The sequence below is a fragment of the Homo sapiens genome, chromosome 7, assembly GCF_000001405.40.
Source record: "Homo sapiens chromosome 7, GRCh38.p14 Primary Assembly".
NCBI classification, from domain to species: domain Eukaryota; kingdom Metazoa; phylum Chordata; class Mammalia; order Primates; family Hominidae; genus Homo; species Homo sapiens.
In genome coordinates this window covers 126,233,031-126,260,210 of record NC_000007.14, presented here as the reverse complement: position 1 = coordinate 126,260,210, position 27,180 = coordinate 126,233,031, and the positions used below count along the sequence as shown (strand labels likewise).

Below are 27,180 nucleotides of genomic sequence, written 5' to 3'. Positions count from 1 at the left end.
TTTATGGTCTCAGAAAAATAATCAAGATTATTTAAGTACCAGTAAAAGAACATATGAGAGTGAAGGATAATATTTCAAGACTGGGAGCTGCTAAATACAGAACAGTGTCACTCATTTGAAGTCATCTAGCTCATTGTAATTATTTGTTTGGCTTAAGCTAGTGAAAGACCAGAATATCACCTTACCCCTACCAATTCTCTACCAGTCATATACATTAGAGACTATAGAATCTGCACTAAGACTTCAAAATTGACAAATATGTTAGCTTTTCTTTGGAGCGGTAATGTTATGTGCAACTCATCATGTAATTAGTTTCTACCTTGAAAAATTTACTATTTGAGGTTATTTGGTTGGTGCATATTCTAAGAGAGCAAACAGTGTAAAATGGACCTGTAATATGTTTCGTATCATATGGATTTCAAGATGTGCTTCTTTTTTTTTTTTTTTTTTTTTTTTGAGACGGAGTCTCACTCTGTCGCCCAGGATGGAGTGCGGTGGCCTGATCTTGGCTCACTGCAAGCTCCGCCTCCCAGGTTCACGCCATTCTCCTGCCTCAGCCTCCCAGGTAGCCGGTACTACAGGTGCCCGCCACCACGCCTAGCTAATTTTTTTTTGTATTTTTAGTAGAGATGGGGTTTCACCATGTTAACCAGGATCGTCTCAATCTCCTGACCTCGTGATCCACCCACCTCGGCCTCCCAAAGTGCTGGGATTACAGGCGTGAGCCACCACGCCCAGCCGTTAAGATGTACTTCTTAATTGAATAATGACATAATTCCCTTTTGGCCACAATTATTTGCGTGGGCAGTTGACAGTGCAGTGGCAGACAGAATTTTGGAAAGAACACAACCGGGTGACCATAATGGAGATGCAACTTAACATAGTAATCCTAGGTGGGTTTTTAGAAATGAGACCAATAATTGGGTAAGTGCAGAATGTTCACTTCACGCTAAGTATATGTTCACTTAAGCTGTTCCTCAGATTGAGTATTCCTACTCCTAAAAAAGGCATGGCTTTATGGATTTCACATGATGCTCAAAGGAGACAAACTAGTTCTCACTCACCTCAGTAGATCACATACTTTGAATGTGGCCTAGTGACTTAAACTTACTTGATTTTACCCTGAATAAAGAAGGACATGTTAAGAAATGATTACTGAGCAGTCAGTTTGTGCATTAATGCTGTTAATATCATGATTTCATGATTTTGCCTGGAGCAATCCTGGCAACAGTTGATGTGGTTTGAGTCTCTTAGTCACACCCTGAGAAAAGAGATGAGACAGACATGACAGCATCTCCTTGTCTCTCTTTTGCCCCAAAGACCATATTTCAACTTTCTTTTTTTTTCTTGAGATGGAGTCTCGCTCTGTCACCCAGGCTGGAGTGCAGTGGTGAGATCTCAGTTCACAGCAAGCTCCACTTCCCGGGTTCACGCCATTCTCCTGCCTCAGCCTCCCCAGCAGCTGGGACTACAGGCGCACGCCGCCACGCCCGGCTATTTTTTTTTGTATTTTTAGTAGAGACGGGGTTTCACCGTGTGAGCCAGGATGGTCTCCATCTCCTGATCTCGTGATCTGCCCGCCTCAGCTTCCCAAAGTGCTGGGATTACAGGCGTGAGCCACTGCGCCCAGCTCTTCATGCTCTGCAACTTTCTGCAGAGCATGAAGAAAAAAAAATTATTTGGTTGGAAAAAATAAATGATACTAAAAACTAACTTTGAACTTATCTGTCTCATTTTTCTTCACTCAGATACTAATATCTGTACAACATGGATAAAGAAAAAAATTTATACATACTTAGATCGTATCAGTTGGAACCAAGCACAATCTGAACATAAAAATACCTGTATTATATAGAGGGATGAATCAGGAAGCTCCCTTGTTCAGCAAAGATTAAGCAGCCAGAATGCTGAGTGAAATAGCACACTGGTATCTCTCTATGATCTGGCAATGTCATAGATTCAAGTGTTGCCTTAAAGACATGTAAGCAGGAATAAATGCTGCATCAAATATGATGAAAACATATAAATGCTGCATCAAATTGTTCAGCTATTATTGACTTGCATACATATAGACTGAAGAGATGAATCCAAAAACATCTCTAAAATAATTCTGTAACATCTGCAAAACTGTAAAATATGCCCCAGCTTTGAGGCATGCAAAATTTATTTTAAGTTTTTATTTTCATCCTTCTGTATCCTCTTTTTCTGCTCCCTACTCTTTCTGCCTGATGGGTCTTCTAAAGTTGGCCATAAATGCTCAGCCTTTAGGGATAATCCCCAAAGATGCTACTCTACTGTACTCGTCTTGCCTTCTGTTCTATCAAAACTGATAAGCAAGTCTCTAAGATCCTGCCAAATATTGAGTAGATGGCTGAAATAAGTAGATGGCTGAAAAAATGACTTAAAGCTTACCTTCTCAGATAACATGTATATGTCATACAAAGGACTCCCATTTTTAAAATGGGAGTTGTATATGTGAGTAGTATCTGGATTGTAATTCAGCTGGTAAAGTCAATCAAGGAAGGGTTTGTATGTGCCACTTTCTCCAAGCACTTCAAATCACACAAGATAGGAAGCTATTGATTTTGCTTTTATGCACTGAAGGCCTTGTTCCTTGGTGGCCATTTAGATTTGATTAAGCCCATCCAAAAAGCATTTCTATTATCAAATCTTAATCTTGCCAAAGAAAGGTATGCAAATGGGAACCAACTTTACTTCTATAAAAGAAATCTTAACATATTCTTACTGAAGTTGAAGTTCTGTTTTCTCTCCGAGATTTACTGATGATATCAACTAGTTCTCAAGAAGTACAAGAACTGAGTGGACGAGGTGATCACCTATTGTGGGTTCATTAACTGAAACAGATTTTTAGGAGGTCATATTAACATGTAAGTGGTTTGGGGATCTCATTCTATCCTAGAATGGAATGGTAGAAATCTACCAGCAGACATCAAAAGAAGGAACTGTAAAGTTGGGTCCAGAAATAGGTGCATTACCAAAGCACAAGTTGTAAATATTGGAGTTGGGGAAGTTGGTATCAACAAGAAGTGAAACTAAGGCTAGTCTTAATCCAGGTAAATTGAGGTCATATCAGTCTGGGAAAATCATGATCAGACCCTGGGAAATTTCATGCAATGCAGGATCTAAAAAGTACACCAGAGCCAGGATGATGAACTTAATATGAGTATTTGATTTAGTAGCTAAACATTTTTCCCCCCAGGTAACAAAGATCTAGTCTTTATCACTACTGGTATCTTCACTATTTATTTATTTATTTATTTATTTATTTCGAGACGGACTCTCGCTTTGTCACCCATACTGTAGTGCAATGGTGCAGTCGCAGCTCACTGCAACCTCTGCCTCCCAGGTTCAAGCGATTCTCCTGACTCAGCCTCCCAAGTAGCTGGGATTACAGGTGCCCACCACCACACCTCACTAATTTTTGTTTTTAGTAGAGATGGGGTTTCGCAATGTTGGCCAGGCTGGTCTCAAGCTCCTGACTTCAGATGATCTGCCCGCCTCTGGCTCCCTTCACTATTTAAAGAATCATTGTCTTCCACATAGGCAGTGGCCACAGTAAATCTGAGATGGTTTAAGGCAAAATCCTTGAAAAAAACTGAAGCTAGGAAAGGCCCTTTTTATGAAGAAAACTTGACGTTATTGTTGAATGCATGTGCTTTCCAAAATCTAGAAAAGAGTTATTCCTGGTACCTGAGGTTAATTACCCTGGGTACAGCCAGGTGTTGATTCTCAAAGCAAAAGTCGAATTATCTAAAGGAAAGATAATTATGCATGATAAAGAGAAGATTTAAATTCAAGTTTTGTTACATAACTATCTGCATTAAATAAACTCAACGTGATCACTGCAGGACTGTTTTCTTACTTTATTTTCAAATTGTATTTTATTATTTCATTTCATTTACTATCTGATTAAAAATAGTACATAGTTATAGGATACATGTGATATTTTGATTCAACCATAAAATGTGTAATGATCAAATCAGGGTAACTGGGATCCATCACCTCAGACGTTTATCATTTCTTTGTGTTGAGCACACTTCAAATCTTCTCTTCTGGCTATTTTGAAATACGCAATAAATTATTAAAAACTATAGTCATCCTACTATGTTATCAAACATTAGAACTTATTTGATCTATCTAACTGTATTTTTGTTCCCATTAACTTGTGTCTCTTCATTCCCCCCACTTCTTTTATCCTTTCTAGCCTTTGTTAACCACCATAACATTCTCTGTCTTCAAAAGATTAGCTATTTAGCTCCCTAATATGAGTGAATATACACAATATTTATCTTTCTGAGCTTGGATTTTTTCATTAACGTATTGACCTCCAGTTCAATCCATATTGCTGTAAATGACATGATTTTATTCTTTTTATGGCTGAATAATATGTGTACATACCACATTTTCTTTTTTTTTTTTTTTTTTTTTTGGTGAAGAATGTTACCCAAATTTATTCACGTGCTTTATAATCGGTAGAGCTACCACATTTTCTTTATCCATTCATCCACTGATGGACACTTAGATTGTTTCCGTGTATTTGCTATTGTGAATAGTGCTGTGATAAACATGGGAGTGCAGATGTCTCAATATATCAATTTCCTTTCTTTTGGATATATACCCAATATTGGGATTGCTGTCTGTTTTTAGGCCAGTTAGTTATGATGTTGTTTTGGTTCCTGTTGGTTTGTACTATATTTTGAAGTCAGGTAGCATGATGCCTCCGGTTTTGTTCATTTTGCTCAGAATTTGCTTTGGCTATTTTTGGTCTTTTATGATTCCTTAAACACTTTAGGATTGTTTTTTTCTGCTTCTGTGAAGAATGCTAGTATTTTGAGAGAGATTCCATTGAATATATAGATTGCTTTGGGTAGTATGGACATTTTAACAATATTAATTCTTCCAATACATAAACATGGGACATCTTTCCATTTCTTGTATACCTTCTTCAATTTTTTTCATCATTTCATAGTTTTTCTTGGAGAGATTTTTTTTTTTTTTTTACTCCTTGGATTAGATTTATTTCTAGGTATTTTTGTAGTTGTAAATGGGATTGATTTATTTATTTTCTTCCTAATTGTTCATTGTTGGATATGCTACTGATTTTTGAATGTTGATTTACATCCTGCAACTTATCTGAGTTTTTAATCAGTTCTAACAGTTTTTTAATATAGTTTTTAGGGTTTTCTTAATATAATATCATATTGTCTGCTAACAGGGACAACTTGAATTTTTCATTTCCCATTTGGAAGCCCTTTATTTCTTTCTCTTCCCTAACTGCTCTTGCTAGGACTTCCAGTAATATGTTTTTAGAATTCTCTTTTTGTCTGTGACTTCGACAGCTTCACTGTAATGTGCCTTAGAGAGGAATTCTTGGGCTGGGATCTGTTTGGAGATCTTTTCATTTTCTGTATTTGGATGTTTACACTTTCCTAAGACTTGGGAAGTTTTTAGCTATTACTTTATTAAATTGGGGTTCTACGACTTTTAAGAAAATCTCTTCTCCTTATGGAAATCCCAAAAATCAATATCTATTCACTTAATTGTGTTCCATATGTCACATAGGTTTTCTTCATTCTTTTTTTAATCTATCTTTCTTTTTATCTGAATAGGTTATTTCAAATGACCTGTATTGAAATTCAGAAATCTTCTCTTCTTCTTGCTCCTGTTTATTGTTTACAATCTTGATGACGTATTTCTGTTTCAATCATTAAATCCTTCAGTTCTGGGGTTTCTATTTGGTTCTTTTTTTAGAGTATCTATCTCTATTAAATTTCTCTTTGATTATAAATTGTTTTCATGATTTATCTGTATTTTTTATTTGTGTGCTCTTGCATCTCACTGATTTTCCTTAATGTCTTCATTTTGAATTATTTTTCAGGCATTTCACAGATTTTCTTTTATTTGGAGTCTGTTACTGAAGAATTATTTTATTCCTTTGGAGGTGTCATGTTTCCTTGCTTTCTCATGTTTCTTATGTTTTCATTTACATCCATACATTTCTTGTAACCGTCACTTCTTTTAATTTTATTGAGTAGCTTCCATAAAGAAACAGATTTTTCCTGTAGATTTTTTTTTTCATAATGCCACTTGGATAAGATACTTTGGCTTTGGTTATTAGTGGGCACTGTAGTGTAGTTTCTGTATGATTTCTTTGGCTATAATCAATGTCAGTGGTGTCCGCATGTTCCTAATGGCTTAGGCTGTGCTTGTTTGTAGAGGCTGTAGTAAGGCTTTGCTGGGGACATGTTTCTCAAGAGAGCCAGGGAGCATGTTTCTCAAGACCCCTATATTGTGTATCCAGGCACTGGTGTTAGTAGTATGTCCTGGGCAGGCCAGTCTCTGCGAGCTGGACTGGGTGTGCATACACTGTGGTAGCAGTGGCAGACTGGACAGGCTAGTGCTCAGGTCCCTAGGTGGTGAATGTGGATCATGGAAGACCAGTTTTCAGGCACCCTGACATTGCACATGGGTGCCAGTGGTGTCAGTGGTAGGTTGAGCAGGCTAGTCCCAAGGCGCAGCCTAGGCACGTGGACACTGGTAGTGTTTGTTGTGGGGTACGTATTTTATTTGTTTTATTTTATGCATAATTATATCTGTGTCACCAACCGGAGTTGTCTAAAAAGAGGTTAAAGAAAAAAATAAGACAAGAAATTCATTAAATTAAATAAGTTAATATATAATTTTAAATAAAAGTGCCTACTCATAACAAGCATTAAACATAACTTAGTGAAATTGATTGGTTGTGACAAAAATGGGCCAAAGGGAGGAAAACGCATGGGTATTTGATAAATTTGGAGGCACATGACCCTCTAATAAGGGTGACTACCACTCAAGTATAGCCTATTGTTGCCAAGTGGGAATACATTTAAAAAAATACTTTGATTTTTCAAATCAGACTATAAATCACAATTTTATGTGAAATTATTCAATTTCTATTTTTATTTATTTTATTTTATTTATTTATTTTTTGAGACAAAGTCTCCCTCTGTCATCAAAGCTGGAGTGCAGTGGCCCCATCTCAGCTCACTGCAACCTCCACCTCCCAGGTTCAAGTGATTCTCATACCTCAGCCCTCTGAGTAGCTGGGATTACAGGCGTGTACCATCACACACTCAGCTAATTTTTGTATTTTTAGTAGAGATGGAGTTCACCATCTTGGCCATGCTGGTCTCAAACTCCTGGCCTCAAGTGATCCACCTCCCTCGGCCTCTCAAAGTGCTGGGATTACAGGTGTGAGCCACTGGGCCCGGCCAGAAATTATTCCATTTTTAAATGTTGATAATTACATAAACTAAAAAATACACACATGTAGATATACTGACTACCCCCTCAAAACACACATACACACATATGTGTACATATACACACACAAACAGGCACACACATACATCTTCACATATACACACATACCATCTGGAAAAATAGGGCTCCATTTCTGCTAGTTTGTGGCACCCTGAGTTGATGGTTCCCATACTTCCCTTGTATAAATGTTTGTTGAAATTAAGGCTGTGGTTGTTTGTAACACCACAGGTATCTCAGGGGTAAAATGATTGCAGTAGAGCTTCTTGAATCTCATGTTCTCTATTTTCCTTATTATGTTCCCAATGGCCTATTATTCTTTGTGATGGTGCTTGTTTTTTCAATATTTTCTCAGCATGGTCATACTGCAAAGTTACAAAATGTAACTTTTGGCACTATCTTTCCCTTGTTACTTTATGTTTCCTTGTTTGTTTATTTGTTTAAATTTATGAAAAAGTCATATTTTCTTTTGATTTTTAAAATGTATGGTTTTATGATTAGTTTAGAAAATAGTTTGATCTTGATGTTTTACAATTTTTAAATTCTTATAAACAGATATTGTTCAGTGCAGTTTTTATAGGCACATCTGGCTAATAAAAGAGAAGTCAATAAAATAGGATTTCTCTGGTTACCTCTTAGTGGGCAAAGTTTCTCTATCTTGCCTGCTAACCATTCTATATTCCACTAGAATTAGGAAGGCTACATGAGTCTTGGAGTCATGATGGCTAATCAAGAGAATCTAGTGGTAATTGGGTTTTTAAAAGAGGTAAGATAGGAAATATAGGCCTAGGATTCTCAAGTATGGACTCCAAGCTCATAATTTCAATCCAGAGAGGAAAAAGTTATACATTTTTATCACATCACATATCCACCTAAGGATATTAGTTGTTTAAGTCAACAAATATTTACTTAGTTTCTACACGGGGCCAGTGCTGTAGGTACTGGAGATAAAACAAGAAGAAAACATATAAACTCTCTCCCTTAAGAGAACTTTCATTTAAATCAAAAAGGACTGACAATAAATTCATAAACAAATTAGTTGTGCTATGTTAGGTGTTGATAAGTGCTATGAAGAAAGCTAAAATAATCTCAAGGTGATAAGGGAAAACTGAAGAGGAATGGGATTGCAATTTTATAGGGTGATTAAGAAAAGCACTTCTGCCAAGGTGATATTTAAGTGGAAACCTGTGGGAAGGAAGGGAGTGAGCCAGGCAGATATATAGAAAAATGTAGCAGGTAGAGGTCAGCTAGTGTAAATGGCCTGAAGCACTAAATGTTGTTGTATAATAGCAAGGAAGTCTATGTAGCTGGGGCCTGAATGAAGGAATTGGAAGGAAATTAGCTTAGAGAGGTAGCAAAGCATATTTAAACTTGTATAGCATTGGGAGCACTGATTTTATTTCTCTTGGTGAAACAGAAAGCCATTGAAGAACTTTGAGTAGAAGAGTTTTCAAAAAACAAATCTGACTGTTCTGTGAGGACTAAATGGAAGAGGAATCAAGATAGTGACTGTGATATTGGTATAGGTGGGATAAGAAATGGTGCTATAGAAACATTAAGTCAATGGATAATGACAGCTTGAATCAGAGTAATAATAGTGTAGATGTTATCAGAGTAATAATAGTGTAGGTGTTGGGAAGTGATCAAATTCATACACAACAACTCACCAATAAAATGTATTGAAGTATAACGTACAGGAACACACACAAATCAAAGTGAGCACACTCACGTAACCAGCATCTGTATAAAGAAATAATATACTGCTAGCACTGCAGAATTCCTCTTATGCACTCTTGCAGTCACAAGCTCCCCAGCACAGCATAAACCACCATCCTGAATTCTAACATCATAGATCAGTTTGCTGCTTTTAAAATTTTGTATGAATGGAAACTACATTATGTATTATTTTGTGAAGTTTATTTTGCTTGCCGTAGTTGTCTTATTTCCAATTTTAGGCTGTTGAAATACTGCTTATATGAACTTCTAAATGTGTTTGTGTATGCGTATGTGTTTTGACAAACATACATATTTTGGGAAATATATACCATAGGGTGGAATCACTGTATTGTAGGCTGTGTCTGTGTTCATGGATAATAGTGAGCACTTTTTCAGATGATGTTGCAGACTCTCCTCAGAAGCATATGAGAGTTCTAGTTGCTGAATATCCTTGCCACTGCTTTGTTATTTTCTTTTTTAACTTTTTTTTTTTTTGTCATTTTAGCCTTTCTGGTGGGTGTTTCATGGTATTTCATTGTGGATTTAGAGCACCTTTTCATTTGTTATATTTCAATATTATATTCGTTAAATGCTTGTATATTTTGTACATTTTTGGGTGGCGTTTGTCTGCATTTTTAATTGGTTTGTGCTATTCAGGATACAATTATTTTGCAATACATATGTATATCAAATAAATTTTCCTTCCAGTGGCTTCATGATTTGTTCTCTCAATGGAGGGAAGTTCTTAATATAATGTATCTCAATTATTAGGGATTCTATGTTTAGCATATTAAATATTTACCTATAGCAAAGTCATAAGGATTTTCGTTTTTTTCTTTTAAAAGTGAAGAGATGTTTGATTTTTCAATTTTTTATGTTTAAAATTAAAATATATAAGGTAAATAATAAATTAAGTTTCTTCATATAGACAATTTCTCAAGCACTGTTTATTAAAAAGATCATCCTTTTCTTATCATTTTATATGTTATATTTGTCAGGAATGTATGCAGATCTGTTCTGGGCTCTGTATTTCTCTGGCATATATGTCTATCCTTGGGAACAAATCAACAAAATGAAAGTTGGTTTTTGGAAAGGAAAAACAATGATAAACTACTACTTAGACTATCTAAGAAAAAAAAGAGGAAAAAAACCCAGATGAATAAAATCAGAAATGAAAAAGTAGACATACCAGAGAAACACAAAAAATCATGATAACCTATTATAAAAAACTATATGCTAACAAATTGGAAAACCTAGAGGAAACAAATAAACTCCTAAACACATACAACCTACCAAGAATAAACCAGGAAGAAATAGAAATCCTGAGCACACCAACACAAAGTAACATGACTGAAGCAGTAATAAGATGTCTCCCAACAAAGGAAAGCTCAGGAACAAATGGTTTTACTACTAAATTACACGAAACCTATAAAGAAAAACTAACATTATTTTTTCTCAAACTATTCTAAAAAATTGAAGAGACTATAAACCTTCCTAACTCATTCTATGAACCATTGTTATCCTGATACTAAAACTAGACATGGACACAACAAAAAAGAAAGCTACAGGCCAATATTCCTGATAAACCAAGTTGAAAACACCCTCAATAAAATACCAGAAAACTTAATTCAAGAACATATCAAGTCTGGGCACAGTGGCTCATGCCTGTAATCCCAGCACTTTGGGAGGCCAAGGCAGGCGGATCATGAGGTCTGGAGTTCGAGACCATCCTGGCTGACACGGTGAAACCCTGTCTCTACTAAAAATACAAAAATGAGCCAGGCATGGTGGCATGTGCCTGTAGTCCTAGCTACTTGGGAGGCTGAGGCAGGAGAATTGCTTGAACCCAGGAGGTGGAGGTTGCAGTGAGCCCAGATGTCGCCACTGCACTCCAGCCTGGTGACAAAGTGAGACTCCATCTAAAACAAACAAACAAACAAACAAACAACAAAAAAAAAAAACAAAAGATAACACACCACACCATGATCAAGTGGGACTTACTCCTGGGATGCAAGGATGGCTCAACATACACAAATCAATAACGACAATATATTGCATCAACAAGATGCAGGACAAAAATCATATGATCATCTCAATAGATGCAGAAAATGAATTGGATACAATTCAACCTCCCTTCCTGATAGAAACGCTCAACAAATTAGGCATAGAAAAAAAAACATACTTCAACATCATAAAAGATATATATGACAAACTAACAGATGACGTACTGAATGAGGTCTGAATGCCTTTTCTGTAAGAACTGCAACAAGACAAGAATGCCAACTTTCACTCCTGTTAGTCAACATAGTACTGGAAGTCCTACCCAGAGTAAATGAGCAAGCAAAAGAAATAAAAGAGGAAGTCAAATTGTCCCTTTTCATTGGTGACATGATCTCATATATAGAAAAATCTAAAGACTTCACCAAAAATCTCAGAACTATATACAAATCTTAGTAAAGTTTCAGGATTCAAAATCAGTATACAAAAACCTATAGTATTCCTATATGCTAATTTTAAAAACTAGCTGAAAAAGACATCAAAAAAGGAATCCCATTTACAATCAGTATAAGAAAATAAAACATGGGAATAAGTTAAGCAATAAGGTGACTGTCCTCTATAATGAAAGCTACAAAATACTGATTAAAGAATTTTAATGGCTGGTCTTGGTGGCTCACGCCTGTAATCCCAGCACTTTGGGAGGCCGAGGCGGGCGGATCACCAGGTCAGGAGATCGAGACCATCCTGGCTAACATGGTGAAACCCCATCTCTACTAAAAATACAAAAAATTAGCCAGGCGTGCTGGCAGGCACCTGTAGTCCCAGCTACTCGGGAGGCTGAGGCAGGAGAATGGCGTGAACCTGGGAGGCGGAGCTTGCAGGGAGCCGAGATCGTGCCACTGCACTCCAGCCTGGGTGACAGAGCGAGACTCTGTCTCAAAAAAACAAAAAATAAAAAAAATAAAAAATAAAAACAAAAGAATTTTAAGAGGACACAAAAAATGGAAAGACATGCCATACTTTTGGATTGGAAGAATTAATAATGTTAAAATATCCATAATACCAGGAAGAAATAGAAATCCTGAGCACACCAACACAAAGTAACATGAGTTAAGTTATTTACATATTTAATGCAATCCCTATTAAAATACCAATGGCACTCTTCATTTTCTTAGGAAGAAAACACCTTAAAATTCATGTGGAACTACAAAGGCCCAAGTCACCAAGGTACCTGAGGGAAAAGAACAAAGCCAGAGGTGTCACACCACCTGACTTGAAAATATGCTACAAAGCTATAGTAACTGAAACAATATGGTATTGCTATGAAAATAGACACATAGACCAATGAAGCAGAATAGAGTGCCAAGAAAGAAATCCATGTATTTAGAGCCAGCTGATATTGTCAAAAACACTAAGAACATACATTGCAGGAAGGACACCTTCTTTAACACATGGTTCTGGGAAAACCGATTAACTGTATGCAGAAGAATGAAGCTAAACCCCTATCTCATACCATATACAAATATCAACTTAAAGTTGACTAAAGACTAACACATAAGACTCAAAACTATAAAATTACTAGAAGAAAATAATATGGAAAACGCTTCAGCACATTAGTGTAGGAAAAGATATTATGGCTAAGGATTTAAAAGCAAAAACAACAAAAACAAAAATAGACAAATAAGGCTTAAACTAAAAGCTTCTGCACAGCAAAGAAAACAGTCTAGATAGTAAAGAGACAATCTATGAAATGTGAGAAAATATTTGCAAACTATTCATCCAACAAGGGACCAACATCCAGAATAGACAAAACACTCACACAACTCAACAGCAACAAAACAAATACTCACAAAACAAATGCTCCCACTAAAAAGTGGTCAAAGCATCCGAATAGCTATTTCTCAAAAGAAAACAGAGCCAGAAGATGTATGAAAAAAGGCCCAACATTACTAATAACCAAGGATATGCAAGTTAAAACCACAATAAGATCATATCATCTCGTCCCAGTTAGAATGCCTATTATCAAAAGACTAAAATAACAAATACTTGCAAGTCTGAAGAGAAAAGGGAACCCTCATACACGACTGGTGGTAATGTAAATTAGTCCAGCCATTATGGAAAACAAATAGAGTTTTGTTAAAAAATTGAAAGTAGAACTATCATGCAATCCAGCAACAACACTACTACATATTTATCCAAAGAAAAGGAAATTAGTATATCATTGGGAACCCTGCACCCGCATGTTTATTGCAGCACTATCCACAATAGCAGGAGATACAGTATCAACCTAAGTGTCCACCAATGGATGAATGGGTAAAGAAAATGTGGTATATATATACACAATGAAATGCTATTCAAAAGTTTGTAAAAATAATGAACTTCTGTAATTGAAGGCAACAAGGATGGAATTGGAGGTCTTTATGTTAAGTGAAATAAACCAAGCATAAAAAGATAAATATTACCTGTTCTCAGGCATATGTGGGAGCCACAGAAGTTGATCTCATTGAAGTAGAGAATAGAATGATTACCAGAAGCTGGAAATGGCTGGTGTGGGAGAAGGGAACATGAATAGAGATTGGTCAATGGGTGCAAATACAGTTAGAAAGAATATGTTTTAGTGTTTGATAGCATAGTAGAGTGACTATAGATACAAATCATTTATTGTATATTCAAAATAGCTAGAAGAGAAGACTGGAAATCTTCCCAACACAATCAAAAGACTAAAGTTTCAGGTGATAGATATCCTAAGTACCCCAGTTTGATCATTACACACTGTATGAACGTTTCAAAATATCACATGTACTCCAAAAATATATATTATTATTACATATCAATAAAAAATAAGGGAGAGCAATATCATCTTTACATTCCTGATATTAGCAATCTTGTTTTCTGTGTTTTTATTGATTTATTTCACTCATTTATTTTACTTATGGAGTGAATTGTTAATCTTTACAATTTACTAAATTTTGTATTAATTTCTCTACTATGTATTTATCACTATTTTATTTCTACTTTAAAAATTTTTTATTTATTAATTTTTTAGCTTTTTAAAATCGGAACAACTAATTAATTTTCGGTCTTACATTCCTGACAGTGTGTACGTAAGACCATACATTTTCCTCTGTAATGTGTTAGCTGTTTTGATATGCGTGTCTTCATTGTCATTCATTTCATAATGTCTTCTACATTCAGTGGTTGTTTTTGACCCTTGCACAATAGAGTTTATTGCTTAATTTTCAGGTAGTTATAGATTTTCTAAATGTACTTTTGTTAGGTATGTCTACCTTAATTCATTTGTTAATGGTCAGATAATATATTCTTTTTTTTTTTTTTTTTTTTGAGACGGAGTCTCGCTCTGTCGCCCAAGCTGGAGTGCAGTGGCGCTATCTCGGCTCACTGCAAGCTCCACCTCCTGGGTTCACGCCATTCTCCTGCCTCAGCCTCTCAAGTAGCTGGGACTACAGGTGCCCGCCACCATGCCTGGCTAATTTTTTTGTATTTTTAGTAGAGACGGGGTTTCACCGTGTTAGCCAGGATGGTCTCGATCTCCTGACCTTGTGATCTGCCCACCTCGGCCTCCCAACAGAATCGAGTGAATATTATTTAAGCTTTCTCTCTAAACTACAATATGAGCAATATTGGTAAATGTTCCATTTGCACCTGAAAACTATATGTAGTCTTTAATTTTTGAGTGCAGTGCTTTATGTATGTCAACTGTGTCACGTGTATTAGTTATTCATACCTACTTGATTAGCAGTATTGATAGTTTGTATATTTTTTTCTATCAGCTATTCAGAATAGTCTGCAGAAGTTTCCCACTATAATTGTATATCTATTTATTATTGTATTTCTTAAGAGTATGAAATTGAGTATACACATGTGTTATAGCTTCCACATGGACACATAGAGGAGAACAACCTATTGAAGGTTGGAGAATGGGATGAGGGAGAGGATCAGGAAAAATAACTAATGGGTACTAGGCTTAATACCTGGAAGATGAAATAACCTGTACAACAAACCCCCATTATACAAGTTTACCTATATAACAAACCTGCACATGTACCCATGAACTTAAAAGTAAAAAAAGATAAAATTGTTATAGCTTCCTAGAGAACTGTCATTTTATGTCTATAGTAATTTTTTGACCAAATCAATTTTCAAAATATTACAGGGCTGAATGTGGTGGTTCATGCCGGTAATCTCAGTTCTTTGGGATGCTGAGGGGAAAGGATCACTTAAGGACAGAAGTTTGAGACCAGCCTGGCCAATATGGCAAGAACCTGCCTCTACCAAAAAAACAAATATATATATATATATATAGCCAAGTAGAGGCAAGTGGCAAATGCCTTTCTTCTTGGCTACTTGGGAGGCTTAGGCAGGAGTGTCACTTGAGCCTAAGAGTTTGAGGCAGCAGTGAGCTATGATCAGGCCACTGCACTCCAGTCTGGGCAACAGTGTGAGATCCTGTCTCTTAGAAATAAAATTATATAGTAATATCAGTCTTCTTTTGGTTACATTTTGCATAACCTTTTCCTCTTCAAAATTTTTCATTCTTTTACTTTCAACATATCTGGCTCCATATATTTGAGTTGTTTTCCTTATAAGCAGTATAAGGATGAAACTTTCTATGTATTTTTTCTATCAGGTATTGAGATAGTTGATATTTTTTCTATCAGCTATTGAGCACTATTTTAGTGCTTCTCTTCAATCTTGTATTGGCAGTTCTATTAGTGTGATAGGCAAGAAAATAAAACAAGGTACATACCCTTTGGAAAGAGGTACCATTTGGGAAGAAGGATCATTTAGATAGATTGTCTTTACTGGCATAAAACATTATTATGAACATAGAAAACTAAAGTGTACCTACAAAGATAGTATAAAACAAACAATTGAGTTTAACATGATCACAAGATACAAAGCGAATGTAAAAATTAATTGTATTTCTAAATATGGAAAAATGAAACTGGGAATTGAAGGTTAAACAGCATCAACAAGCATAAACTACTTAACACAAATTTAACTATACCCATGAAAATTTGTTCATTCAAAACTACTGATCCTTGCTGGGAAAAATTTTTAAAAATTATGAAAGTATATAAGATTCATGAGTAGGAAGATTTGATATCTTTAAGATGGATAATATTTCTAAATTGATTCATGGATTCCATAAAATGCCAGCCAAAATCTCAGCAAGCTTTTCTTTGCAGAGTTGACAAGCCAATTCTGAATTTATATGGAAACCTTAAGAGCTTAGAAAACTAAAACAATTTTGAGGAAAAAAGAAAAAGAGAACTTACATTACTTTTTTCAAGACTAATTACGATGTTACAGCAATCAAGACTGCATAGTATTGGCTAAGGAAATACATGTCGATGAATGAAAAGTAATAGAGAGTGCATTAATATAACCACACATATATGGTCATTGATTTTCAAAAGGTGCTAAAGCAATTCATTGGAGAAAGATAGTCTTCAAAACAGGGTTCTAGAACAACTACATATTCATATTTTTAAAATTCCTTTACTTTACATCATATGTAAAAATTAACACAAAACTGATCATTGGCCTAAACATAAAGATAGAAACTGTAACACTTTTGGAAGAAAAGAGGGAAGAAAATCTCCCTAACCTTGGATAGATTAAGATTTCTTAAATAAACACAAAAAATCAGAAAAGAAACTATACAGTAAAAGTTGTACAAATTTGATTTGGTAAATATGGAAATCTATTATTTGAAAGTCACTTTTAAGAAAATGAAAAGAAAACCAGACCATAGGCTGGAAGAAAATAGTTGTGCAATACATATATTTTATTTGTATGCAGTAGATGTAAGGAATAAGTAAAGAACATTTATGACTGTATAATAAACAAAGACATTCAATAAAATTTTTCAACATATATTTCATACAGGGTATAAAAAGAGCCAATAAACCCTAGAAAGGATGCTTCTTTTTTCATCAGGGAAATGCAAAATAAAACCAGAAGAAATACCACTACACAGAAGTCTCCAATAGTGTTTTTGAAAATGAAAGTAGTACCACCAAGTTTTAAAATAGTTTGGAAAATCCATTAAGTTAAACTTATCACATAATCTTGAAATCCCATTCAATTAATTATTTACCCAAGAGTTATGAAAACATATGTTCATTTAAAAACTTGTGTGCAAGTATTTACAGTAGTTTTATTCATAAAAGCCCCAAACTGAGAACAATCCAACTGTCAATCATCAAGTCAATGATTAACACATTATGGTATGTCATAACATAATAATACTACTAAGTTTAAAAAGAATTTTTTAATACACAAAAACATGGAGTATTTCTCAAAATATCCAGAATGAAGGAAACCAGACATGATGCAATAGAGTGTATGATTCCATTTATATAAAACTTTAGAAAAGCTTAATTTAATCTATAGTGATGTAAAACAGATTAGTGTTCTCCAGGGACTGGTGTTGGGGTGAAGAATATTGCTGTATTATTTCATCTTCACATTGCTATAAAGATACTACATGAGACTGGGTAATTTATAAGGAAAAGAGGTTTAATTGACTCACAGTTCTACATGGCTGGAAAGGCCTCAGAAAACTTACAATCATGATGGAAGATGAAGGGGAAGCAAAACACATCTTACATCGTGGCAGGTGAGAGAGAGTGACGGGAGAAGTGCCACATTCTTAAACCATCAGATCTTGTGAGAACTCACTCACTGTCATGAGAATAGCATGAGGGAAACTGCTCCCATGATGCAATCACCTCCCACCAGGTCCCTCACTTGACATGTGTGGATTACAATTGGAGATGAGATTTGGGTGGGGACACAGAGCCAAACCACATCACCTGCAAAGTTTTGGGTTTTGGGTTGATGTAAATGCTTTATAACCTAATTGTGGTACAGTTACAAAGGTGTGTACATTTGTCAAAATTTGTCAAACTATGCACTTAAAATTCATAGTTATAATATGCATTTATGGTTATAATACAAGGCATAAAATTTGATTAAAAAAGCAATGAGCGCACACATACACTTACATCTATATCACATTATAATAATCACAATGTATAAACAGAAGTAAAAACAAAAATCATATGATCATCTCAGCAGATGCAGAAAAAATTCATAAAATTCTACATCCCTTATAATGAAAACCCTCAATAAACTAGGCATTGAAGGAACGTATCTAAAAATAATGAAAGTCATATATTACAACCCCAAGGTCAAAATCATACAGAATGGGGAAGAGTTTAAAGCATTTCTCCTAAGAACTGAAACAAGACAAGGATGTCCACTCTGACCACTCCTGTTCATAGCACTGCAAGTCCCAGCCAGAGCAATCAGGCAAGAAAAAGAAATAAAAGGCGTACAAAATGTGAAAGAGTAAGTCGAATTATCTCGGTTCACTGATAACATGACTGTATACCTGGAAAGCACTAAATACTCCTCCCAAAGACTCCTAGACTTGATATACATGTTCAGTAAAGTTTCAAGATACAAAAGCGATGTATAAAAATCAGCAGCGTTTCTACACATCCATAACATTCAAGCTGCCAACCAAATCAGTAACTCAATCCCATTTACAGTAGCCACACAGTATTAGTCCACTCTCAGGCTGCTAATAAAGACATACCCATGATGGGGTAATTCATAAAGGAAAGAGGTTTAATTGACTCACAGATCAGCTGGCTGGGGAGGCCTCAGGAAACTTATAATCATGGCAGAAGCAGAAGCAAACATGTCGTTTTTCACATGATGGCAACAAAGAGAAGTGCAGAGCGAAGTAGAGGAAAGGCCCCTTGTAAAACCATCAGATCTCCTGAGAACTCAATCACTATCACAAGAACAGCAGGAGGTAATCACCTCTATGATCCAATTACCTCTTACTGTGTCCCTCCCATGACACATAGGGATTATGGGAACTACAATTTGAGACGAGATTTGGGTGGGGACACAGCCAAACCATATCACACAGACACAGAAAATCTGGACTACATTTAACCAAGGAGGCAAAAGATCCCTACAAGGAGACCTATAAAACACTGATGAAAGAAATTGTAAATAACACAAACAAAACATCCTATGCTCATGGATTGGAAGGATCAATATTGTTAAAATGACCGTATTGCCCAAAGCAATCTACAGATACATCACAGTTCCTGTGAAACTATCAATATCACTTTTCACAGAATTAGAAAAAAAATCCTAATGTTCATATATAAATAAACAAACAAAAAGTGCAAATAGCCAAAGCAATCGTAGGCAAGAAGAACACATTTGAAAGAATCACATTGCTTAACTTCAAGTTATACTACAAGGCTATGTTTTGGAGCCTTAAAATCAAGAAGAAAATCATTGTTTATACAATGATCTAATTATATTGTTTATTTCTTATTTCCAATTAGATGAATGTCTTAGTACAAATTATTTTTACATAATGAGATTAAACATTTGAGACTTTTTCTTATATTATTTGGAAAGGCATATGTTGCTCAATTTTGGAAGTTTATTAATGCACAGGCCACTAGGGTAGTGCTTAAAACATTACATTTTTACATATATCAAATGATATCTATGTGACTTTTCAGATGCTAATATTCATTAAAATAATGTATTCATTCCTTGTTATGACTGAATCATACAAGGCTTATATTACAAAGAATCTTTATGTCTGTTCTGTAAAAATTTGAAAGTGACTACCTGCTTGTTTGTTAATCACCTAATACAACATTTTGATCATTGAACATATTCTGTTTTCTGTATGTCCAGTGTGATACCCACCAATTACATGTGGCTATTAAGCCTTGAAATGGGGCTGAAGAACTGAGCATTTAATTATATTTACTTTTGAGTAATTGAAATTTAAGTAGCTACATGTGGCTGTTAGTTATCACAATGGACAAACAGATCTAATGCCTGGGATGGATGAGGTTGGACACTCTTTGCATATATACAACTTTACTATCTAACATTATGGGGGTCATTCTATCTACATCTTCTTACATCCACATCTAGGAGGAAATACCTGATTTAGTCACATTCTGAGCACTTGCTAGACCAACTTTACATTGGTAGAATTATTATTTATTAAATGATACTCTTTTTGAGTATGGTCACCTTAGAGTTTTTCTGCACACTGATATGGCTTATTGAGAAAGCTGAGCCCAAAACTGTCTCGCTGGGCAGAGTTTGAATGAGCATATTTCCTAACAACTTTTCTCACACAAGTTGTTAGGTGATTGGGAGTTTTTGGTATCTGGTTAGTATTAAGATTTAAATTTGAGAAACGTTAGAAGCCCATTGGCTACTATAGCTCAGCCATTTGTTCCACTTCGTATTTTCAGAGTTCACTGTTGGGAATAATGGGCATTGACTATTAACGAACAGTTCATTGTTTCCTATTTTATATTGCCTTAATGGATACAGAAGATATTCTACTTAATAGTAGGTTAGATTGTGAAACATTTTTTTTTTAGTTTTACATCGCTAAAGAAGAGTTTACATATCTTGTTCCTGAATATTTTAAAATGAGGCAGTCATATTCTTTTAGTATTTGTACCTTGCCTTTCAGAATGGTTCCTCCTGTGGGATGTTTTATCATATATGATGTAACATTCATCATGTTCTCAAAACACTTTCATTTTTTCTGTTCTCTCTTCTTCGTTTCTATCATTATATCCTCTCTACTTTTGCTGGTGTTGGAAAGAATAGAGTTAATGGTGCCTATATAGCAATATAGTCTCAGCATATCCACAGTAAACAGGGAAGAGACCATAGATCTACTAGTCTATTGGTGTTCAAACTAGGGTATTCATTTCATATTGTACAAAAGATAGGGATGTCTCTCAAGGCATTAAAAGTAACCGTAGAGGCACTTAAGTAAGTGTCGGTTTTGAAAAAGTGAATAAGTCTAATGTGTACTAATCATTGTTCAAATAAAGTATTTATACTTCATTTATTCACACAAAATTAAAACAAAAAACAAGCTGTCTACTAACAGATGATAAGAATAAAGTCTGATGAAAGAGGTCCCGGTGATATTTGGGATACAACTCAAAAGTTCAGAGAATTTAGTTGCAAAGCTCTTTCCATACTCATCTACTTATCTATGCAAACAAGATTTCCCAGATCTCACATCTAGGGATGGTATAGCTGCTGAACACTTTCATATTCTAGCAACGAATGATATTATTTAATGGCACATTGACTATAAAAAAAGCCCCGTTATCTTAATTTTAAGAAAATTTTAGTTTTTACTTTATAATTATTATAAAATGTAATATAATTATATTTTTTACTAACAATGTGCTAGTCATTATTGACTCCAATTCCAGATAAATTTTGTAAAACTTTAGGATGTTATGTTCATGGAAGTTTTTTTAAAAAATATTCAATTAGCATGCTTTTTTAAATAGAGAATTAAGAAATAATATATATTACAGAAATGTCCTTTGGGGTTAGGTAACATGGTGACCTGAGAAGTTCATCAATGAAACTGTCCAGAATAAAAATATATTGCATTACCACAGTGCATTAGTATTATATCAGTTCTGTGAAGGAAGTGAAATATAAATGAATTTAAGGAGGAAAAAAATAATGTAAAATTTATGACCATTAGGAAAAGCCTTGGAGATACACACACACACACACATACACACACACACACACACAAAGAGAATTCACAGAGGAAAATTATATATATTCAAGGTGTACAATGCAATATTTTGATATACATATACGTTGTGAAATCATTACCACAATCGAGGTAATTAATATCTCTATCACCTCACATAATTACCCGTGTGTGTGTGTGTGTGTGTGCGTGTGTGTGTATGTGGAAATATTTAAGATCTGTTCTCTTAGAAAATTTCAAGTATATAGTACATTATTATTAACTACAGTCACCATGATGCACATTAGGTTTCCAGAGTTTATCTTGTAGCTCCAAATTTGTATTCTTTGACCAACATTTGTCCATTTCCTCTACTCTCCAACCTCTGGTAACCACCTTTTAATCACCTTTCTACTCTGTTTCTATAAGCTCCACATTTTTAGATTCCACATGTAAATGAGATCACATAATATTTGTCTTTCTGTGTCTAGCTTGTTTCACTTAGTATAATATCCTCCAGATTCATGTACATCTTGAAACGTTTGATGGTGGGTATTAATTCTCTGTTGTAGACAGGGGCCATTGAACACATTTATTTGTTATTCTAAAGAAATCCCATTTTTACAACTACTTAAGTATGTGATAGAAATTTAGGACTCAAAATTAAAATTCATTTGTGTATGCATGGGTTTAAAAACCACTTTAAGAAGATATATGAACAAAGTTTTTGAAGGTCAATGACCTAGACCAAAATGGCTAGCAAAACCTCAAACTTCGTTTATGGGGTTTGCAAGTTGAGTTTATGTGTGGAGATTTGGTAATTCTATTGACACTTTACCTGGAGGATGACCGACAAAGTGATCTGAGTAACCTGTTCCTAAAACCATTACAATATTTATTTATTTATTTATTTATTTATTTAGATGTTCTTGCTCTGTCACCCCAGCTGGTATGCAGTGGTGTGATCATAGCTCACTGCAGCCTGGAATTCCTAGGCTAAAGTGATCCTCCCACCTCAGCCCCCAAGTAGCTAGGACTACAGGTTCACACAACCATGCTCAGCTAATTTTTAAATTTTTTTGTAGAGATGCAGTCTCTCTATGTGGCTAGGCTGGTCTCAAACTCCTGGCCTCAATTGATGCTCCTGCTTTGGCCTCCTAAAGTGCTGGGATTATAGGTGAGCTACCGTGCCCAGCCAAACCATTAAGATTTTATACTGATTTTAAGTATGTAACTGCGGCAATGACTGATCGATGATAAGGAATATATAGAGACATAAAGGTTCTCACAATCACAGGGCAATTCAGCCCTGAGTCACAACCCTGAAACATAAATGGAAAGCACTGTTATATAATAGCACTTAGTACAGTGCTTCATGCAATCTGGGTATGAAATAAATGTTTTTAAAATAAAAAGTAATCTTGGACTGCTGATATAAAATTTGATAATTTTTAAGGTACATAAAAAGAGCCCCTTTCTTGTATACTATAAGACATAGACACAATAATTTGTATGTATGTACACAAATGTAGACATCTTTGGACATAATCTTACTTTTCAATTTACAAAGACCCCCCTTGGGATTTTATTTTTTATTTTTGAAAATAATAGCATATAGATGACTCTTCTTTCTCAGCTGTGAAACCCTCTTTCTATCATTTCCATTCCTACCTTGCTGGAGAAACTGGTTTTGAGAAATATTTTGCCTTGAGGTTTTCCTAAAAGTTTAATATTGTAATAATAAGGACATTTTATTTCCTTGTATCAAATTATTATTTTAATAATACTTATCTACCTTGGATAAGTTGCCTTTTCAAATTTAGCTTTAGAAAATATTTAAGGACTGATAATTAATTAATTATATTAATTTGTATACATTTGGAATGAATAATTTTACTAGTTCAATAATTTATTTTGTTGTATTATTCCCTAATTCTTAGTGAATACAACTTTCACTAGATATTCTGTTAAAATACTACAAGAAATAATTGATATCCACTTTACCAGGAATTTGGACGAGAAAGAGCTCTCACTATGTAACAATTTATTTTTCTATATCTTACGGAAACGGAAGAATCCCAAGCATTCCCACGTGGTTAACGCCATCTGTTGTAACTACCAAGATGCTATGGGCTGCTTCTTCCTCAGTCTTTATTTACAATCCAAAATGAACATTTGTCATGTATAAAATCTATAAACAGAAACATGAACTTCCATGCAGAATGTGCAGAAAGGGAGATTTCTCTTACTTTTATGCACAGCTGCCTGTTGTGTGGTATTCTGGAGCTTGGGGAATTCAGGGTTTTAGGTCCTTTTGCAAATCAGCTATAAGAGGATAATGAAACTCATCATAATAAACCTGAATTATTAGGACTGTTGATTCAACAAAGACAAATTATGTTTTGTTTGGTATAGGCTTAATGTCAAAGGTATTTACCTGAATTCTAAAGCTTGGAAATTCAATTATCTGAGAAATAGATATAGCTACTATTAATCAGAATGCCTGATTAAGCAGAACTGTGATGAGCCACCCAAAGATCACACCTGATGAAGAGAATTAGGCAAAAATGTGTATGAAAAAATACTCACAGATGGTTTCTATTTGTGTATCTGTGAGTCTGAAGATCGAGGTCTCACAGTGAGAGCTACATTCTCACATACAAGTTTGCATTTATTAGTATATTTATCACTCTATTTACACAACAAATGTATGTTCTAGCTGCAGTCAGTTCCATAGTTCTCAGGCAATTACTGGAATTCATGTTCTGCCTTTGGATATCATGCAATATTCTCTTCCTTTCACTTTTATACTTTCTTCTGCCTCAAAGTAGAGGAAGTGGGCAAAGTGGGCAGGGAGTCAGGAGTTCGTAAACATGCATCTTTGCCATCGCTTTGTCAACAACTAGCTCTATAATTTTCATCAAGTGACTTTACTTAGTCTTAGGTCAATTTTCTCATGTAACAGTGTGTTGGAGAAGATCACTGTGTGGTTTAACAAAAAAAAAAAAAAAAAAAAAAAAAAAAAAAAAAAAAAAAAAAAAAAGAAGAAACATTTGTACCCTTAAAAACCTTACCAAAAAAATTCTACATTAGATCCTTGTGTGCGAGGCAGATAACAGGAGATTGTTCTGGGTTGAGATCAGAAGACTACAGCCCTGCCCTCTCAGCAGTGCATACGGTACATCTGAGAAGCCCTAAAAACATACTTTCAAAGCATTTGGACGCAATTTTCTCCAAGATTCCTTCCATTCTCCATAAATTATGATTTAGAATAAAATGCAGATCAGTTATTGGAGACTTGAAAGGAAGAGCAGTTGAAGTTAATGAAAATTGCATTTTATATCACTTGTAGATTTCTTTTACTCATATCTTGACATTACCTCTTGGAACACACAATTAAGAGTTACCTTATTTCTATTACTACTGCTTCTGGAATCACTTGTGTTTTGCCAAATTTTCTTTATTTATGAGTGAAAAGAATATCACTTCTATATATTACTGAAAAAATGCATTTTATTTTCTCATTCATTAAGTGAAGGGGCTGGCTTAAATGGTCTCAAAGTCTTTTTCAAAAGACTAGCATTCAACACTTATCTAAATCTATAATAAAGTTGACCAAATTTAGATATAGATTACTGCACCAAGGATGTTTCAATGTAAATGAATTTAATTTAATCTATATTTAAATTAGAGTTAATTACAATAAATTTTAGAGAAAATTTTGCTATTTCTATAATCAATAATTTACCTAATCTTGTCCACTCTTTCTTCTTTTCCACTTACCCTTTACTCCTGCTTTACCACGCTAGACCACCAAAAGCTTAGCTATTTCATTAACCTCCACACTCTGGATTAATCTTTCCACTGATACAACCTATCTGCTCATGTCAGGCAATTCTTTTTAAAGTAGTCCGACTCTGAAATCTCAGAGGCCCTCTTAAATCACCACTGTGGTTTATTGCAAAAGTGACCAGAATTCTTTCCCTCTCTCTGTCCATGCTTTTTGTGATGTAACTTTGCAACGATTCTGATCATGAGATTGGAGTCTATTTTCTGACCCCTTGATTCTGGGCTGAACTTGTGAAACATGTTTTTATTCAACATAGCAGATATAATGATGCAGATCTAAGCCTGTAAGATGGCTTTTTTATTTGTTTCTGCTCTCTTCTGGTACTTTGCCACCTCCGTGTATTCAAATCTGAACTAGAATGGTGGATAATAAGATATTCATGGTTCTGTGACCTTCACCTGCCCAGCTGACAGTCAGCCAGTATATGAGAATGAGGTGATCTGAGACCAGTGAGGCTCCAGTCTACCTACTGGTACATCACGGATGAAAGAGAAGCTCAAGCCAAGATCAGCCAATCCTGGTCCAGTGAGACAGAACTGCTTAACTGACCAACATGTAGCAAATGACTGTTTTCCAAGAAACACATGGAATTCGGTAATTTTAAGAGGATCAGTTTCCAGAGCCTCCATTTCCATGAGTGACTCTCTCTAGAACTGACATGCCTGAGGATAAATGATTCTGTGATCAAAGTTTCATGCTAGTAATTCTCTCCCACTTCCTCCTCACAAGATCCCAATTCAAAATACTGGTTTTGGGAAGCATCTTTATAATGACTACATTATTGTCCCAATAGTTTTAAGAAGTATGGAAGCAAAAATGTTTGACAACCATCACCTTATTGCCAAGCACATTTTCCAACATGCAAACTTTGTTAGTTTTCTTGCTAGTTTAAAACACTCCAGCAGCTTCTCATTATTCATAGGATAAGAGTCAAAATCCTTGGCTGGGTGTGGTGGCTCATTCTTGTAATCTCAGCACTTCGGGAGGCCTAGGCAGGCATGTTGCTTCAGCTTAGGAGTTCGAGACCAGCCTGGACAACATGGTGAAACCCCATCTCTACAAAAAATACAAAATACAAAAATCAACTGAGCATGGTGGTGTGTACCTGTAGTCCTAGCAATTCTGGGAGCTGAGGTGAGAGGTTCTCTTCAGCCTGGGACTGCACTCCAGCAAGACCCTGTCTAGGAAAAAAAAAAAAAGTCAAAATTCTTTACGTGGTGCTCAAGACACACCAAAAACTAGATCTCCTAATTTCCCTATTGTATTTCCTTTAACATAACTGTTTTAGTTGCATTGTATCACTTTTAAGTCTCTGGGGAATCGGATTGCTCTGTCTGTCCTCCTGCTTTTGCTTTGAAAGCCTTCTCCTTACACCTTCCTCTCTGTTTTTCCAAAGCCCACTCTTCCTTACCACTGTTGAAAGCCCAGCTCACATGCTTGCTCCTCCATGAATGCCCATCTGCATCATCCACCACCTCTCAGGTGGAAATCATCTCACTTTTTAAAAATTTTCAGAAGACTTTATTTTAATCTGTTTCAAACTTTTTTTGCTCATTTTATTTTTATTTCTATGTTTACATCTCATGATTGTGATTTTCTAGGAGAGTAAATAGTTCACTCATCTTGTTATCTCCTTAGTGGCTTCTTAAAGGAGACTTAAGTATTTGTTGAATGACAAATCAGTGAA

General features: G+C 35.2%; 1 long non-coding RNA gene across 2 annotated transcripts; it reads right to left on the bottom strand.

Annotated features, from left to right (window-relative positions):
- Positions 1 to 6,562: 6,562 nt before the first annotated feature.
- On the bottom strand, positions 6,563 to 26,641 carry LOC105375488 (uncharacterized). Of its 2 annotated transcripts, none has more exons than XR_927935.1 (4): positions 26,599 to 26,641; positions 13,497 to 13,578; positions 8,988 to 9,060; positions 6,563 to 6,636 (listed from the first exon to the last, which is right to left on the bottom strand). It is a non-coding gene; the product is annotated as an uncharacterized LOC105375488 (long non-coding RNA). The 2 variants fall into 2 exon arrangements; XR_927934.2 differs by lacking the exon at positions 26,599 to 26,641 and adding an exon at positions 26,328 to 26,478.
- Positions 26,642 to 27,180: the final 539 nt, after the last annotated feature.